Source organism: Homo sapiens, chromosome 2, assembly GCF_000001405.40.
Source record: "Homo sapiens chromosome 2, GRCh38.p14 Primary Assembly".
Taxonomy (NCBI): domain Eukaryota; kingdom Metazoa; phylum Chordata; class Mammalia; order Primates; family Hominidae; genus Homo; species Homo sapiens.
This window is the reverse complement of record NC_000002.12, coordinates 216142122-216160567: the sequence shown is the minus strand read 5'-3', so window position 1 is coordinate 216160567 and position 18446 is coordinate 216142122. Positions and strand designations below refer to the sequence as shown.

At 39.3% G+C, this 18446-nt stretch overlaps 1 protein-coding gene and 1 pseudogene across 1 annotated transcript in view, besides 3 other annotated features; one reads left to right on the top strand and one right to left on the bottom strand.

Annotated features, from left to right (window-relative positions):
• Positions 1-18446, bottom strand: part of XRCC5 (X-ray repair cross complementing 5) — a 96946-nt gene that overhangs the window by 45726 nt on the left and 32774 nt on the right. Inside the window, exons 14-15 of the mRNA NM_021141.4 lie at positions 12292-12485; positions 407-500 (exon numbers count right to left, since the gene is read on the bottom strand). Coding sequence (NP_066964.1) covers positions 407-500; positions 12292-12485 — 288 coding nt within the window. The remainder of the gene's footprint in view (positions 1-406; positions 501-12291; positions 12486-18446) is intronic.
• Positions 3132-4331: an enhancer, noted in NCBI's record as "BRD4-independent group 4 enhancer chr2:217020960-217022159 (GRCh37/hg19 assembly coordinates)". NCBI's record gives its function as "activates an origin of replication core promoter dependent on BRD2, P300/CBP, MED14 and CDK7 cofactors, and independent of BRD4, by STARR-seq in HCT116 cells {active_cell/tissue: HCT116}" and the evidence as "EXISTENCE:reporter gene assay evidence [ECO:0000049][PMID:35650434]".
• POLHP1 (DNA polymerase eta pseudogene 1) lies at positions 3557-4234 on the top strand (annotated as a pseudogene).
• Positions 17730-17839: an enhancer, noted in NCBI's record as "active region_17092". NCBI's record gives its function as "activates an Ori minimal core promoter by ATAC-STARR-seq in GM12878 lymphoblastoid cells {active_cell/tissue: GM12878}" and the evidence as "EXISTENCE:reporter gene assay evidence [ECO:0000049][PMID:35858748]".
• Positions 18010-18129: an enhancer, noted in NCBI's record as "active region_17091". NCBI's record gives its function as "activates an Ori minimal core promoter by ATAC-STARR-seq in GM12878 lymphoblastoid cells {active_cell/tissue: GM12878}" and the evidence as "EXISTENCE:reporter gene assay evidence [ECO:0000049][PMID:35858748]".

Here is an 18446-nt window from a genome sequence, read left to right as displayed (position 1 = left end):
TTCTAAAGTTGCATGTTAGAAAATAGGAAAGTTATACTAACTTAAATTGTGTGTACTTGAAGATTAAGGCTCGTATCACTAACCCCCACTTATCCTATCATTTTGACTAGTTGAAAAGCTGCAAAATAATGCCAACAGCAAAATCTCAACACTGAGATGTTCCACGTTCTATAAAGAGCTCTATATACCTTATATCATATAGATAATTCTGTAGGCAATTCATGATAATAATTACTTAAAGAAGTATGGAATGGGTCTTTTTGGCTTCTATAGAGCAAGGACCAGAGAAAGTGATCATGATCTTAACTTGAAAGTGGTAAGAACGGACTAACAAAAATTGATGCACTCTCCCTCAAGCCCCAACCTTCCTGCAAAGGGGGAAGCGCACTTGAAAAGCTTAGCTTACAGAGGTGACACTGCCTTCAGCCAGACTGGAGACGCTGAAGTGGGCTCCCCCTTGCTCAGTCTTTAATTTTTTAGCTGTAGGTCCATCTTCATGGCTAGAAAAGAAAAAAAAAATTTCTCTTAGAACAAACAATACAAAACCAGATTGCTATTGTGAAACTTATTTTCCAAGCACCAAAAAAAAAAAAGAAAAAAGAAGAAGAAGAAAAGAAAAATAATGAAGAAGAAAAAGAAAAGAAAAACAATAGCTACATGTAGTCCTTCTACAAACAAGCTGCCTCCCTTTCCTAGCCACCGGGCTCCTAAGGGCCTAACTTGAGGCAGCCCTGGCTTTGTTTCACAGCAGTATGAGAATCAGAATTAAGCAATCACATCATAAGGTCCTTGGAAAAGATGAAACTGCAAGCACAGATAATGGAAATTTAACATTTAAGTAAGAAATCCATTTACTCTTCAGATATTATTTTCTAGTTCCTGTCTCAGAATTGACAGCTATTAGCTTTCCATGTACACAGAAGACCTTTGTGTCTAACAACCCGTTTTCTCTATCATGTATGTTAGAGCTTTATAAGCCTCTGTTTACAACTGTCAAAACTTACTAGACAATCCTTAATTAACTATGCAAGAGCTTTCCCTCTTAAAGAAGTCGTAAACTATAAAAAAAAAACTTCCCCGAAAACTTTTTAATTTGTTCTTTTATAAACCTAATTCTGTTTTGTGCAATATGCTAACAGTCCAGTAGCATCTGTGTGCTAAGGAAAAGTATATCAAACATCTTGCCTCAAGCAACATGCTGGCTTTAACAGCCTGTCTTAAAGTCAAGAGGAGGTCAAGTTAATTGCAAAAGAGAAGAAAATCAAATCCAAAGACTCTGCCTGTAATCTCCCTTAAGCTGCTGAACATAAAGAAATTAAGATTTTTTTCTCCCAGAGAGAAATGCAATCTAGGGCAAAAGCAGCCATCAGAAATGGCTAAATGATAAGAGAATTAGTAACCAAGATCTAGAAATTTTAAAAATTCATTTATTTTAACATAAAAATTGTATATATTATCATGTACAAAATGTTTTAAAATATGCATTTATTGTGAAATAGCTAAATTAAGCTAATTATCATATGCATTATTTCATTTACTTATTTTATTATGAGAACAGTTAAAATTTCTCAGCAATTTTCAGGACTAGAATTTCTAAATGTGTTGTTTTTTTGCTCAAAGCCTCAACCTTCAGACAATGAGGCTTGAAAATGAAGTTATTTTAAAAATGAAGCAAAAATAAATTTTAAAAATAAAATGAAGCCAAGAGAAAATAAAACATATATGGGCTTCCTCAATTTCAATAATGAATTTCCTCTTAGAGGTAGGTAAAAGAACTAAAGTAATCATCACAGCCATACATCCATGAATTAAAATTTTCACTATTTGGCATCTTTCCCATTCACCACTAAATGTTTTCCCTTTGAGAAGTAGACAAGAGCAAAGTAGAAGACAGAAGGGTGGGAACCAGGAAACATTACAAGGGGTAAGTCACCCAGAACTCTTTTCTTGCAAGTAGAATAAAAAATAAACACACAGCCTTCGTGGAAAAATGAAAGAAAAAAAGGAGAAATCCAAGGTAGAATGAAATTCCATTAGAAGTTGAGTCTGTTTTAAAAAAAAAGGTCAGAGCCAGTCATTTCAATTAACCTTTGCCAGTTCTTCCCAAGAGACAAGCCAACAACATTAAACTACTGAAGAGTTGGAGTCAAAAGACCTGGATTCTAGTCTCGATTTTGCCACTGACTAGCCCTGAAATCTTACACCTTCTTGATGGCGTTCACTGTGTACTAATTTTTATCTATCTAGAGTTTAGAGTCTAGTAAGCTACAAACCTCTCTGAGCTTCAGTCTGCTCCTTAGGAAAGCACTATGATGAAAACTACCATCAGTATATCAACTATTCTCTTCCACAAATACAGATTAGCTTATATAGTAGTATTAAGAAGGATTACACATAAAAAGCTAAGTTGTGGGGGAATATGAAGTTGAATCACATGAAGAATTTCTTCAACCCTCCAAAATGAGGTTCTAGGGAAAGAAGGGTAAACAGACACATACACAATTTTCCCGTACCAGGCAAGTAAAAGTAGCCCCAGTCATATGCACAACACAGTAAAATTTAGTATGGTTAATATTCTCCAGGCCAAATCATTTAACAGCATTATTAGGAATTTTGCATACACTAAATTCATAATCTCTATGTGAAGTGGGAAAGGGTAATGACTCTCTTCCCTAAATTATCTATGAAGGCGCTAAGCTCTAGAAAGTAGAAATTTATACACACAAGATCACAGTAGACATATAAATGTCAGCAGTTGGTGCATCTGGATGATGAGACCATGGGTAATTTGTTCTTTCTCCTTTCTTATTTTCTTTCACAAACATGTATGAATTTTGCAATTCACTTATTTAGCCTAATATTTACTGAATATGTACTATATATCAGCCACTAAGCTAGACTCTAAACTCTCAATATACAAAAATTAATATACCATCAACACCTTCAGCCAAATAAAAATTGAAGTATACATATAGACAATTAACAAAATACTGTGATAGGCCTATCTCTTTCAGAGGATAGAAAATAGTTGTATTGGCCGGGCGTGGTGGCTCATGCCTGTAATCCCAGCACTTCGGGAGGCTGAGGCAGGCGGATCACGAGGTCAGGAGATCGAGATCATCCTGGCTAACACGGTGAAACCCCACCTCTATTAAAAGTACAAAACATTAGCCGGGCATGGTGGCGGGCACCTGTAGTCCCAGCTACTCGAAAGGCTGAGGCAGGAGAATGGCGTGAACCCGGGAGGCAGAGCTTGCAGTGAGCCACAATGGCGCCACTGCACTCCAGCCTGGGTGACAGAGTGACACTCCGTCTCAAAAAACAACAACAAAAAAAAAACAAAAAAAAAAGAAAATAGTTGTATTGGGTTAAAGCATAAGGTGCAAAAGCTGGGACGTAGTGAGAGAAGGAGCTAGAAAACACATTAATTAGGAGCATTAAAAAACGTGAGGAAAGAAAATGGTTTTCTCTAGGCAGCGTGCGTGCTGTCTGTCCTCAGTCTGGTGGCTTTGTTGCTGGGCACACTGCTCTCGGCTGATCCCTGCTGAACTGTGGGGACGGTCGCCTGGGCAGGATCCTTCACGACCCCTTCTCTGTTCCTCTGTCATCACGGGGAATAAATCTCTCGAAACTCTCCCCAGAAAGGCGAAAAGATATTCAAAAGCCCTTCTTCCATTTTCCTTCCAGTGGGCACCGAGCCCAGCATTTGCGGCACCCACTGCTGGCAGTCTGGCCAGGTGTCTGTTACCTTGAAAAATGGCTACTGGACAGGATTGTGTGGTTACTCTCATGGACATAGACTTTGTTCCAATGGAGCAGCGGCAAAATCCTCATTTGAGGAATAAATCTTGTGCAGCTGTGTAGTACAAATCATGGAAGGTGGTAGAATAATTGCAGTGAGTTATGAAGCTCTTGCATTTGGGGTCACTATATGTAGGCAGATGATGCAAAGAAGTTAAGTCCAGGTCTTCTACTGGCACAAGTTCGTGAGTACCATGGGAAAGCTAACCTCACCAAGTACCGGGAAGCCAGTGTTGAAGTGATGGAGGAAGTCTTGTTTTGCTGTGATTGAATGCGTCAGCATCGATGAGGCTTATGTAGATCTGACCAGTGCTGTACGATAGAGACTACAAAAGCTACAAGGTCAGCCTATCTCAGCAGACTTGTTGCCAAGCACTTAAATTGAAGGGTTGCCCAAAGACCCCACAACAGCAGAAGAGACTGTTTCAGAAAGGTACCTCCACAGCATCATATTGCTTCTGCTTCCTGCCTTTGGAACCTGCTTTGCTTGGTCATGCTGATTCTCCTTGGAATGACTGAAAGGAAACTTAACCTATGGCCTCAACGAATCACAAGGACTCATATGGAAGGATATACAAATGTTCTTATCTTTCCAGATATATGGATGTTGAAAAGCTGTGAAATCTGTATGAAAGTATATTTTTCTTTAGATATAACTAGGGCAGATTAGTGTTATCAACACAAGGCAGAAGGTTGACTGAGCACTTTGTCATTGGTAGCTTAATTTATATCATTGTAACTTAGTGTCTTCGCTTCTTCGTCTATAAGAAGGGTGAGCTTTTTAAAGGGGGACCTCAGGTATAGGGAATTCAGTCATTCAAAATTTCTAATGACTTCTTAGCACATTATCAAATATGGGCTGTGCCAGGCCCTTCTCGTTGTATTTTAGTACCTTTCCCCTTCATAGTTATTTTCCCACTCCCTCTGCACCCCACTTACCCTCTTGTACCCACCGATATATCAGATACATCTTAGATGTGTATATATTTTTATTAAGTTACACAGTACTGCTTTATGTATGTGCTTTTTAAGTACAAGATGATATAGGCTATTATAGATCTTATTCTTTTTCTTAATTTTCCTTCAGTGGTGACCTTAGAGATCTGTCCATGTGGCTGTTACTTGCAGCATAATCCATGATATGGATCTACCATGTTTACAGACCATTTTCCCCTAGTGACGAGTACACTGGTTGCTTCTAATGTCCTACTGTAACAGTTTACATTCCCCCTTAGCAGTACACAGAAGTTCCTGTTTCTCCCATATTCTCACCAACAACTGGTATCATCTAATGTTTAAAAATATTTGCCAATGTTTTTTTTTGCTTTGATTTACATTTCTGATTACTAATTGAGATTGAAGATCTCTTCATACACTTGTAAGCCAGCTGAGTTTCTGCTCCTGTGATTTGCTTTTTTATAATCTTTGACCATTTTTCCATGGAAAAATTGAAAAATTATTTTTTGATTTGCCAAGAGGTCCTTGTATATCCTAATTATTAGTTCCTTGTCTTTTTTTTTTTTTTTTTTTGAGATGGGAGTCTCACTATGTTGCCCAAGCTGGAGTGCAGTGGCTATTCACAGGTGTAATAATGGCTCACTGCCACCTTGAACCCTGGGCTCAAATGATCCTCCTGCCTCAGCCTCCAGAGTAGCTGGGACTACAGGTGTGTGCCATCATGCCTAGCTAATTTTTATATTTTTTGTAGAGATGAGGTCTCACTATGTTGCCCAGGCTTTTATATATTTTTTTATTTTCTACTTGGTTATTGATGTGTTGTGAAATGATAAATGGTTTTTTTTAATAAGTTCATTTTTATTTACTTTAAAAAAAGAAAATGGTTTTCTCTAGATAGTTGGATTATGAATAGATGCCTCTTTTCTTTCTGCTTATCTGGATTCTCTTATCTGTGTAAAAGAGTTTGACCTTATGCTGGGGATAATGGGAGGCCATTAGAGCAAGCGTTTTTTAATTGGGGGTCCAAAGATGACATCAAGGAATCTGTGAACTACCAGAAATTATATCCAAACTTCAAAACTTAGTATGTTAAAGCATTTTTCTGGGAAGACAGTTCATAGATTTTGTATCAAGTGAGTTCACTGCACTCTCTGTCTTTCACACATGATTAAGAATCACTACTTTTAAGAATTTTAAGCAAGACAGTGATGGGATCAGGTTTGTTTTTTAAACTCACTCAGGTAGCAGCATGAATTGGAAAGGGGTAAGACAAATTAGGGAAATTAGTGAAGAGCTTATGTCAGTGAGGCAGGCTAAAATGAGAAGGCCTACATAAAAGCAGTGGCAGTGGGCGATGCTATTAAGAGCTTACGTTTCTTTTTAATGCTTACCATGTGCTAGTCACTATGTTACACACATTTAAATTATCTCAGTTAAATTTTGCAACAACCCTATGAGTTAGCTATTATCAGCATCCTTTTACAGATGAGCAAACTAAGCCTGAAGAAAGTTTGATCCCTTGTTTAAAGCACACAGTAAAGGGAAAGAACTAATCCTGTACTCACCCATTCTCCTAACCAACCTCCTGGAAGGCAGGCATTTGTTATTGCCACTTGACACTGAGCAACTTGCCAATTTCAACTGCTTTTAAGGGGAAATGCTTGAGTTTAGCTCCAAATTCGACCCCAAAATCAATGCCATTAGCCACCAGACTAACCTTAAGTGAAAGCGTTAGATTTGAGGTAAATATAATACAACTTGGTAAACCAATTACATATAGAATGTAAAAGAAAAGGAAGACTCCCAAGAAATTAGGTGTCATTCACTGAAATAGAGAATAATAGCATGAAGAGGGGTTGGAAAGGAGCAGGAAGAAGAAAGCAGATAACAAAGCCATTTCTGGCTTACTGAACTGGAGGGGCCTACAGGCACCTAAGCTATTTAGTTGATGGGATAGAAATCCGAGCTGAAGATAGGTATTTAGTAGTTTTTGAGGCTCTGAAATAAAAAAGAGGTCTTGGGACATGCATTGCTAAGGCAAAGTGGCATTACAGTTTGAAGTACAAGCTCTGGAGTCAGACTGCCTACACTTAAATCCTTACTCCAACACCTACCAACTACAATCTTGGGCAAGTTTCTCATCTTCTCTAATCCTGAGTCTCCTGAGCTTTAAGTTGGGGGTCAACAGAAGAATCTACTTCATAGGATGGCAACGTGGGTCCAAACAGATAATGTGTGTAAAGCACTTAGCATCATGTAAAGCACTTAACATATTAAGTTTTGAAGTCTGAATGTAATTTCAGGTAGTTCACAGATTCCTTGATATCAATCTTTGGAACCCTGATTAAAAACCCTTGCTTTAATGGCTTCCCATTATCTTCAGCATAAGGTTCAATAAATGTTTGCTGTTTCTGAGGACAAATTCTACAGAATATCAACACAAAAACACACAAAAGCAGCCCCCACAGGAATCTGAGAGGGAGCTGCCAAAGATTGAAAAAGAAAAATTTGGAGAAGCTGAAGTTAAGACAGATACATGAGTCTCAAGAAAGCAGGAATAACTGACAGTGTCAAGTGCTTCAAAGAGGTCAAGAAAGCAAAGAACCACAAAGCCGAAGTGAATTTAGCAGTTAGTGTCTTTTGAAAGATGAGTTTCAAGGATGTGGTGGGGGCAAAAGCTGGTGAGAATGAGAGCTGAGAAAGGTTGCAGAATAGACTATTCTTCCAAGAGCCTGGCTTCTGGAAGGAAAGATAATAATTAGATTAGTAATTAGTAACAGGTAGTAATTAGAGGGAAGAAGCTAGGGGGACTATTTTGTGTTAAATGAAAGAAATTTAACATGAGAGAAGAAAGGAGTTAGTGGTAGCGAGGGAGAAGCTAAAAATACAGAAAGAGAGAAGAAATTATTAGTGGCCTAAGGTACCAGATGAAGCAGAAAAAGGAATCCATCCTAGGGAACAAAGTAAGACTCTATCTCGACAAAATATAAAAAACTTAGCCGGCGTGAGTTACTCAGGAGGCTACTGAGGATCCTCAAGTTGGGAGATCACTTGAGCCCAGGAGGTCTAGGCTGCAGTGAGCTGTGACCCTGCCACTGCACTCCAGCCTGGGTGACAGAGAGACACCCTGTCTCAAAAACTAAAATTAAAAAAAAAAAAACAAGAAAAAAAAGGATCCAGGGCACAGGTAAAGGAATTCACTTTAGGCAGGATGAAATAAATACCCTATTTCACTGAGACAGGAAAAGAAGGGAGGTACATGCAAAAACAGGTATGTTTTGAGATAAGATGGGCCACAAAACTGCGGAGTTCTCACCTGATACGGTTACGCTTTGTGTTCCCACCCAAATTTTTTTCTCTCTTTTTTTTTTAAGACAGTCTCACTCTGTTGCCTAGGCTGGAGTGTAATGGTGTGATCTCAGCCCACTGCAAACCTCCGCCTCCTAGGTTCAAGCAATTTTCGTGCCTCAGCCTCCCGAGTGGCTGGATTACAGGCTTGTGCCACCACAGCCAACCAATTTTTGTATTTTTTTTGTGTGGAGACAGGGTTTCACCATGTTGGCCAGGCTGGTCTGGAACTCCTGACCTCAAGTAATCCACCTGCCTTGGCCTCCCAAAGTGCTGGGATTACAGGCATGAGCCACTGAGCCGAGCCCCAAATCTCATTTTGAATTGTAATCCCCAGGTGTTTAGGGAGAGAGCGGGTGGGAAGTGAATGGATTATGGGGGCGGTTCCCTCATGCTAATCTTGTGATAGTGAGTGAATTCTCATGAGATCTGATGGTTTTATATAAGGTAGTTTCTTCTGTGCTGATATACACTCGATCTTGCCTGCTGCCACATAAGATGCACCTTTGCTTCTCCCTCGCCTTCTGCCATGATTGTAAGTTTCCCAAGGCCTCCCCAGCCATGTGGAACTGTGAGTCAATCAAACCTCTTTCCTTTAGAAATTACCCAGTCTTGGGTATTTCTTTATAGCAGCATGAGTGATGCTAATACACCACCTATTGGCCTCTACTGTCATTGTCACTACTAACATGCCAGGCATATTACTAGGATTTTTAAAATCATTTACTCCAAACACTGTGTTCTTACTATTTGCTAGGCACTTTGCCAGGTCCTAGGGATACAAGAGTGAACAGCATACACTGCTCGCATTAACCCCCATGACAACTCTATAAGACAGATATTCCTATTATCCCTATTTTACCCATGAGGAAACTGAGGCTTTGAGAGGATATGTAACCTATGCCTAAGGCCACACTGCAGAGCAAGGGGTCTGACTCATATTGGCTGACTCTGGAGTCTGAAGTCTTAACCATTAACCAAGTGAGGATGTCTGCTGAGAGTAAGTGAGAAGGAGTCTTCGTGGACCTGAAAAGAGCAGAAAGCTTTAGACCACCTGCATAAACAGAAATCAAGATCACGTATACATCAGCTGCACAAGCAGGATTAGACCTGAGATGTCCGAATTCTCATGCAAGTTCCCCGTCCAAGAGATGACATTTTCATTTCAAGGGTGTACAGCAACATAAATGGAAGCAATGCTTTTATATGATGAGGGTAATATTTAGTATATTTTGGGTCTACAGTGTCAAATGGTGCTCTTATCCTCTTGAAATGAAATCACTTCTAACACTAGGTATTCAACAAGTCCAAGACAAATATCAGATCTTCTCAAAGGTTCAATGTTTTTATAGATAATGATACTATTATTGCTTTAGGTTTTGACTATTGCCTTCCCTCCAAATACATTCCTGGGCCACGGAATGACGTTTTGGTCAATGATGAGCCACATATACAATGGTGGTCTCATAAGATTATAATGAAACTGAAAAATTCTTATCGCCTTGTGACATCAGGGCTGTCATGACATCATAGCGCAAAGCATTACGTTTTCTTTTATTTTTCTTTTTTAATTAAGATGGAGTCTCGCTCTGTTGCCCAGGCTGGAGTGCAGTGGCATGATCTCAGCTCACTGCAACCTCTGCCTCCCAGGTTCAAGAGATTCTCCTGTCTCAGCCTCACAAGTAGCTGGGACTATAGGCACACACCACCACGCCCAGTTCATTTTTGTATTTTTAGTAGAGATGGGGATTCTCTACTAAAAATGTTGGCCAGACTGTCTCGAACTCCTGACCTCGGTTATCTGCCCACCTCAGCCTCCCTAGGCATCTATCATTAGATACGTTTATATATGCAAATACCTCTTTGTTACAAATGCCTACAGTATTCAGTATAGTAACACACTGCACGGGTTTGTACCTTGAGGACAAAAGGCCATACCACATAGCCTAGATGTGTAGTAGATTCTACCATGTGGGCTCGTGTAAGTACACTCTGTGACATTCGCACAACGAAATTGCCTAATGACACGGTTCTCAGAATGTATCCCTGTCGTTAAGTGAAGGATGTCAGTTGCTCAAAGTGCTTTAATATCTTTGTTCATTGTTATAGTATCTCTTGAGATTTTTCTTTAGGTGAAGAAAATCTCATAAAGGTAAAATTATTTCACCAAAATCATATCAAGTGAAAAAACTGGAATGATTCCCAGCTCTTAAGATGATTAAACTTCCTGAACAGACATTTGTCCACTCCTGATCTTAGCCCCTCTCCCCTCCACTAGAAATATGTACCCTGGATCCAGAGATGATGAATATATACAAAAACATTGCGAATTGTTGGCAATTTTTTCTTTCCTTGGAAAAACTACCTCTAGAACTGACTGGAGCTTTATCATCAAAATTGAGGGGTTTTAGAACCTTGTAGAAAGGACTGAACCATTCTTCTTGAATACAGGTGGTACTCAATATTTGCTAAATGAATCATTTCCACAATTCTTAAAAACTAAGCTTTCTCAGAAGAGAGAGAGAATAGGAGCGTGAGCAAGCGTGTGTGAGTAAGATACTTCTCAGGCCCCTGCAAGATTAACTTAGCTATGCTGCGAGCCATTATGGGAGCAAAGAACAAGAAGCTCAGCACACCCAAGCTTCCAGAAGAGTGCCCAGCAGGACCAGAGCCAAAGGTGTGATCATAGCAGGGATCAAACGACAGAACTGCATCCTTCTGGGTCTGGGTGGTGTGCTTTTTTAACTAGCTAATTTACATTTTAATCAAAGGGAAGAGCAGAAAATGGCCCATTTCTTTCCCACAACACCAGAAGGTAATCAAGATCACGGACTGGAGATTTAACACACAGAGAGAGAATAGCCCTGTGATTGCAGTGAGACTTCAGCAAGGTGTCATAGAAAGAAAAGGCTGCAGACTTTTATTGAACTGTTTTAAAATACAAATCCAGAAGGTAGATAAGGATAGCAGGGGGAAAGTGAATTTTTAGGGACAGTCTTCTTGTGTAGAACGATAGACTAAACAGAAATGAAAACCTCTCCAGGATGTGTAAGAAATGCACATCATAAAATCTATCAAGAAACAATCTATCAATTTCCTTGAGAGATGGTCTTATGGGGGGCGGGCAGTTGGTGCGGCGGAACCAAGTACATGATTTTTTTTTTCAATTCTGACAAAGCTTGGATGTTAACCTTTAGAAAGTCACAGAATGTGCACAACTTTCTATTCAATTTAGACAGTAATTCTCTAAATCAATGATTTATAGAAACCTGTGAAGACTTCCGGAAATTACTCAATACTTCTCCACTGGGGTATTTATAAATAAGAAGCTTTGTCAATAAAGATAGTTGTGGAGAGAAAAATCAAATAAAAAAGGGGAAAAGATTCATGGTTTAAAATCAGATTTCAAAATACAGCCAAAAGAAATGTATAGATTATTCCAGCTTGAGAAAAAAAAGTCACCAATAACTGGTTGACCTAAACCTGGTAAAAATCAATTTTACATACTCAAATAATTCTGGATAAGCAACAACAATTTCTTCTTGTTTTATTTTTGTTTTGTTTTGAATGGAAGCTGACACAGATTGTGAACAGAAGAGGGAAAAAACTTAATAGCCAGTTGTAAGCTTGATTTAAGTGTATATGAAAAGCATTTTGCAATACTTAAAACTACAAACACCTCCCCAATAGCACAACCAAATACATCACTGATACACTAATAGAACGGCTGAAGAATTGATAGTTTTTCACTCTTGTTCCCACTTTTCCTCCAAAAATCTCATTGACATCCCCAACATCTAATCTCCTCCCAACCCAAAAAACCTATGATCTTCAACACACTCATTCTCAGTACTTTACTTTAAAAAGGGTGACATTTAGCCTTAGATATTCAGAAACTTATCTGAATTATACATTATATATAATTCACCAAGAATCTGATGCTGATCAAAAAGTCATCAGCCCAGAAGGTAGCTCTAAATCCAAAGTGAACAGCAAGGATAAAATATGATCACAGCAGACAGATATAAGAAATCAATATTTCAATATAAGGGCCAAATAGCAAAAGGCTTCTTCCTCTCACCTTTTAAATTCCATAGACCCCTATGTGACACTTCCAGAGCCACTCTAAAATGACCACAACTCTTATGTACCCCAATGTTAAATGCAACTATACCAAGTACTTACTTGTCTTGGAAAATTTCCTGAGCAGTCACTTGATCCTTTTTCTTGGCTTCAATCAGAGGAAAAAGGGTCTTTATTTTAGAGAGAGGAATCTGACTTTTTGTTGTCACCTCAGCGGGAGGATTCAGCATATTCCAAATATGCTGCTGAATTGGGGGTAGAGGCTCCCGGGGATGTAAAGCTCTGTGCAGCAGACACTGTTGGAAAAAGTAAGGATTTTAAAACACAGATGGAGACATATATGGCTTCTTTATATTTTCTGATCAGGGATCCTCCATCTTTAGTGTGGGAGGGCTAAGTGATTCATACCACATGTAAAAAACAATCAAGAGGATTCACCTAGAACCACCTTTGTTGGCAGGATATTGGTCAATACCTAAAACCAATTGTAAAAATAGATCCAAGCCTAGCAACAGTATCTTCTGCTCTGGACCTCCTGGAAAGGAGCCTCACCTTATAAATCAAAGCTGTTGTTTTTACTACTTGGGGAATATACAAGATTCCCTAAAATACCTGATTCTAAGACCTGATAATCTGGGATTATAACTTTCTTGTTATAATCCTTTTATCTCTCTTAATCATGCTGTGCTTTCTCCCTCACTTAATCTCAGAGAATGCCATGTGGTGGATGAAACAGGTGGCTACAGGGAAGCTGCCCATGCTCAGTGAGTCCCAGAGAGAGGTCTGCAAAAGAGATGAGAATACTGAGTTGTCCCTGAGTGCTGAGTTTGCACTTTTCAGCACAAGTCCATCCACCTTTCTCTCTCCCCACTGCTACCATTCTTGCCCAAGCCCTATCACCTCATCCCTGGCCTACCAGTCACCTTCTAACTGGTTTCCCAGCTTCTCTTTCCACTGTCTGACTGGAAGTGGTCCGAGAATGAACTGCTCACCATACCCTAGGGTCCTATGATGCAGCCCTGCTTGCCTCCTCGATCGCATCACCAGCCACTTGTTCTCCTCACTCACAACCCCAATAGGCTGGGCTCCTGCTTCGCTCATACACCAAGCTCATCCTAACTTTGGGGCCTGGGCTTAACACTACCTCTGCCTCCTCTGTCTTTCCCTAAACCTCAAGAGTCAGCTCCACCCTTGCCCTTTTTTTAAAAATCATTTTAGTCTTTGCTGAAATACTATCTCCGCAGAGAGGCCTTCCCTGACACTCTATATGAAGTAGCCCCTCCACCCCATTCTACCACCCCAGTCATTTTCTGTCACTTCCCTTATTTTATATTTTTTATAGGCTCCATCATTATCTAAAATTATCAATTTTTTAGTTTACTTGTTTATTATCTAACCCTCCTCCTTACAAGTAGGGCTCTTCTCTTCTTTACTGCTGAATGAATTCTAAGCACCAAAAATACTACCTGGCACATAATAAGCACCTGGCCGATAACAGCTGAAGGAATAAAGTGCTCTTTTCCAGGGCTCTAGTTGTTGACAGCGGTGTCAAGAAGCAACACCAAGGGGGAGGGGCGCCAAGATCAAGGCCAGGGCAAATTCTCCACTGCCCATGTGAGTGAAGTTCTACACAGCATGCCACCTCATTCAACCACCTATCCTGCCTCAAGTCTACTGGGCCAGGCCTTGGCCTGCCCAGAAAAGGAAATGCTCTAAAAGGAGTATAGAAAGCAGTAAGATTAGATGTCATTAAAAAACAAAGAAAGAAATGAAACTATCAGTTTATTGATGTTTTCCTTCCTTCGATGAAGATTAATTCCAAAATTAAGGTATAACTATTCCCACTTTTAAACAACTTATAAATTGGTAATTCTAAAAAAAACAAACAAAACACCAGGGAGCTGAAGAGCTCCTGTAATTTCAAAATACTGCTCCTATCACAAAGCATGTGATTTATACTATCCCCTGGTCCCCTGGACTCCTTTCCTACACTGAAGAAAATGTAAGCTGAAAGTTTCTATTCTAAAAAAATAAAAGATGCTTAGGTTTAATAGTATCATCCAAGAGTCAATGTCCTGTAAGTTTCGAAAACCCTGAAGTAGGAATTAAGTACCAATTTCCTCCAGAAATTCCATGCGCTTCTCCCTGCTCCCTTCCCCATTTCAACCACCAACCACAACTATTCCTTCTCCATAGTATATTCATTTGTTTGTCTGAGTTTGATGCCTGCTTTCTTCTTTCCTAATTACTTGACTTTCCCTTGAGCATCAGTAACATCAGGCCTATTCAATGTAAAGCAAGGTAATCCCCAAACTGTTTAAGCAAATCCAAAAGATCCCAAACTCTGTGAATCTACCCCCTCACCACCTTCTTATTATGCATAATCCTTTATTCACAGTGCTCTCCCTTGGTTCATTAAAATACCTGAACAGCTTAGAAAGTCCTAAAGATGTAAAGCAGTAATCAAACACCCAACATAGCAGACTACCTCTCATAAACTCCTGAAGATTCTATCTGTGATATCCAATTGACATTTCTTGGAAAAGGGCTAGAACAACCAATGGACAAGTATCCTACCCAACCTTCCTACTGTAAAACATTCCAGATTTTCAGCATAAACCCCAGGCAATCTTTTCAGTGTCATCATCCGTTAAGTCAATAATAAAGGATCTACAAGAGATGTTCTGAGGTACCAACCTCCCTCTCATATTTTCTGAAAGGTCACATTTTAGGCAAATTAAGCTAAGCGAGATACTTACAAAATTCATTCAGGTAAAAATTCCCAATGCACTAAAAAAATGGGATTATGAGAAAGTGACATTTCTGAGTAGATGGGAAGCTGAGATCACCTATTTATTTCTCTTTTAAGCAACTGTTACTGGATGTGATTTTTACAATTTGAAAAAGATTAGAGGAAAAACCTACAGACCACAATAGCTCAAAAGTTACCAATATACTGATTTTAGCACCATTGTATCAATTATTTAAAAAGTGGTTTTAACTGTATACTTGACAAGATATATTTTCAGCATTTCTTTCCAAAACTAGAATTAAATTAACCTCTTGATAACAAATTAATTATTAATCTCTCTCTCCTTCTCCAAGCTCATTTACCCTTAACTGTAGGTATTTCAAAAAGAAAAAAGTGGCCTTCCTGGATCCCACAACCTCCTATAGATTACTGTGTCCTCTCTTTCTCTCTCCCTTCATCAGAAAGTCTTTCTCATCTAGGCATTGTAACCTGGCTTGCACACCATTACTCAACTGATTCTGTGTCCCCAAAGTCCTCAAACTGGACTACAAATTCCTAAAGACCCTTTGCTAAGCTCACCTCTACTCCCCATTGTGCATCTGACTTGCGATTCCTTCCTTTCCAACTCGTCTCTTCCTGTGCCTTCCAAGATGCATTTCTCCTAGTTTTCTACCTCGCTGATTTTTATTGGGGTATGGAGGTAGGAGCATTTGGTTTGGTTTTGTAACAACCCTTTTTTATATGTCTAATTGTTCACTCACGTGTTGCAGTTCTCTACTTTGTTCTCTCTCCTACTCACCCAGTGTGCTCTCCCAGACAATCTTACTCACTTGTCTTTCTGCCTCAATGAGGAGGACTCTCAAATCTGTGTTTAGACCTGACTTGTCTTCTAGGCTCTGCAACCCTGTTTGTAACTTCCCAATGAGTGTCTGTACCAGGATATCCAATAGATTTTCTCAAATTTAACACTTGTGAAAATAAATGAATTATCTTTTCCACCTGCTCATTCTGTATTCCTTATCATATTGAATGGTGACATCATCTTTTCAGTCACCCAAGCTAGGATCCTGTTATCTTCAAGTCCTCTTTATTTTCCATCAATCACTCAAGTTCTATCTATACCTTCTAAATGCCTTAAGAATTGATTCTCGTCTCCACTCTCTCCATCACTGCTTTAACTCTTAAGCCTTCAAGTGGGCCACTGAAAATTCTTTAATTACCCACTGCTGTAAAATCCAAATGACTGAGTATGGCATACAAGGTATTCACAACCTACTTACTACTTACCTTCTCTGTCACGTTTTCCATCATTTCCCCATACAGAACTTATTCTGCAGCCAAAGGGATCCACATCCTGGCTCTTCATATTTTCATGCTTTTCCATGTTATTTATTTTGCATGGCATGCCCTCCTTACCACATGCACCGCCTTTGTTCTTTTAGAACTCTGTCCAAATGCTAATTCCTCAGCAAAGCCTTCCCTAAGTCACCCACTTGCAAAAATCTTTTTCTTCTTATTCTCATGGTGTTTTCCCACCACTGTTTTAACAACTGGTTTTTTCTCTCTCTACTTTTCTCATTCTTCTAGAGGGGTCCATAAAAGAAGTAAGCTTGGCCGGGTGCAGTGGCTCACGCCTGCAATCCCAGCACTTTGGGGAGGCCGAGGCGGGCGGATCACAAGGTCAGGAGATCGAGACTATCCTGGCTAACACAGCGAAACCCCGTCTCTACTAAAAATACAAAAAAAAAAAAAATTAGCCGGGCGTGGTGGCGGGCATCTGTAGTCCCAGCTACTCGGGAGGCTGAGGCAGGAGAATGGTGTGAACCAGGAGACAGAGCTCACAGTGAGCCAAGATCACGCCACTGCACTCCAGCCTGGGTGACAGAGTGAGACTCCGTCTCAAAATAAAAATAAAAAAAAAAAAAGCAGCTTATAGTATCTTTCGCACGTGGTTCATTGTTAGTACTCAATAAATAAGTTTTTTTTAAGTTTATGTATCCTAGTGAAGATACTTCTTTATATAGATAAGCCACATTAAAAACTCTCCCCCACAAAACAAACTAATAAAAATCAAAGCCCGTGCTTGCAGCAGCTTTGGAATATAAAAATGCCTGCATTTATGGCTTGTATCTGTTTGTTATTCCAATAAGCATTTATTAAAGATAAATACAACCTACTGTAGATAAGTGTGCAAAATAGTATTAATAGAAGTTTCTCTTTTTCTCCACAGTGAACCATTTTGGTAAGCTTTGAACTGGTCTGCTCCTACCTTTCCTACAAATGGCACAAGGCTTTAGGTCTTCAAGTACATTTGCCAAAAAAACACCAAAGGATTTTTATATCTGTAATTTATACTTCATTACACTTAGCATGCTAGAGTACAGATGGTCCCTGGTTTATGATGGTTCAATTTACAATTTTTCCACTTTACAACAGTGTGAAAGCGATACTCATTCAGTAGAACTCAGTAGGACACTTACAATGCTGGGCAGTGATATCAAGCTGCAGCTCCCAAGGGTAGACAACCTTTACAGTGCATGATATTGTCAGATGATTCTGCCCAACTGTAGGCTAATGTGAAGTGTTTTGAGCACATTTAAAGTAGGTGAGGCTAAGCTATGATGATTGGTAGGTTAGGTGTAGTAAATGCATTTTCAACTTATATTCTCAACTTAGATGGGTTTATAGGCGTGTATCCCCATCATAAACTGAGGGGCATGAGTATTCAGAGTCAAGTCTTCACATGTTAAGCTTCACATCTCTAATTTTAGAACAAAAGATTTTTTTCACTACTTAAAAGAATTACAAGCATCAAAAAAACAGGCAGTTTCTTTCAAGTAGAGGATCCCTCAAATCACAAGCCCCAATATGGACTTAAGTTAGTTACAGATGTTTCATGAAGTGAGTCATAAGGGAGAATCTGTGGTCTCTGCAGCACATGCCCTGTTACCCCCAACCTGCAGAAAAGGGCCCTCTACTCCTCTGTGAGCAACAGCTTGCCTTAAAAAGCTGCTTATATAATTTTTTTTTCAGTTTTGTGGGGGTCAGAGAAGCCTATGTCCTGCTGTCATCAACTGAATCCAGGACTGGAATATTCCTTTCTCCTTCAACCTTGGTCTAGCCCTCCCCTTCCTCAGCATAAGTCAGCTCTCTTGTCAACTTCCCCAATTTACCTTAATCCAATCTCTGCCTTCCAATTCCTTTGGACTCAGATTCAGAAGATTTTTTATATTTTCTGTATTTTAATTATTCTTTAATAATTTCACAATATAACCTTTTTATCTGACCCCTATGCTCCCTTTAATTATGAAATTTTTGAGAAATGTGACATTAGAACACTTCTTCTCTAACAATGTTATATTATTATAGAGTTCATATAAGCTCTCCTACTATTTTGATATAGAAAACAAAGAAAAGTGTTATTTACATACAATACAGGAGAAAAGCCTGAAAAAATATAAAAGAGGCATCTGGCTGGGGGCAATGGTATACACCTGGAGTCCCA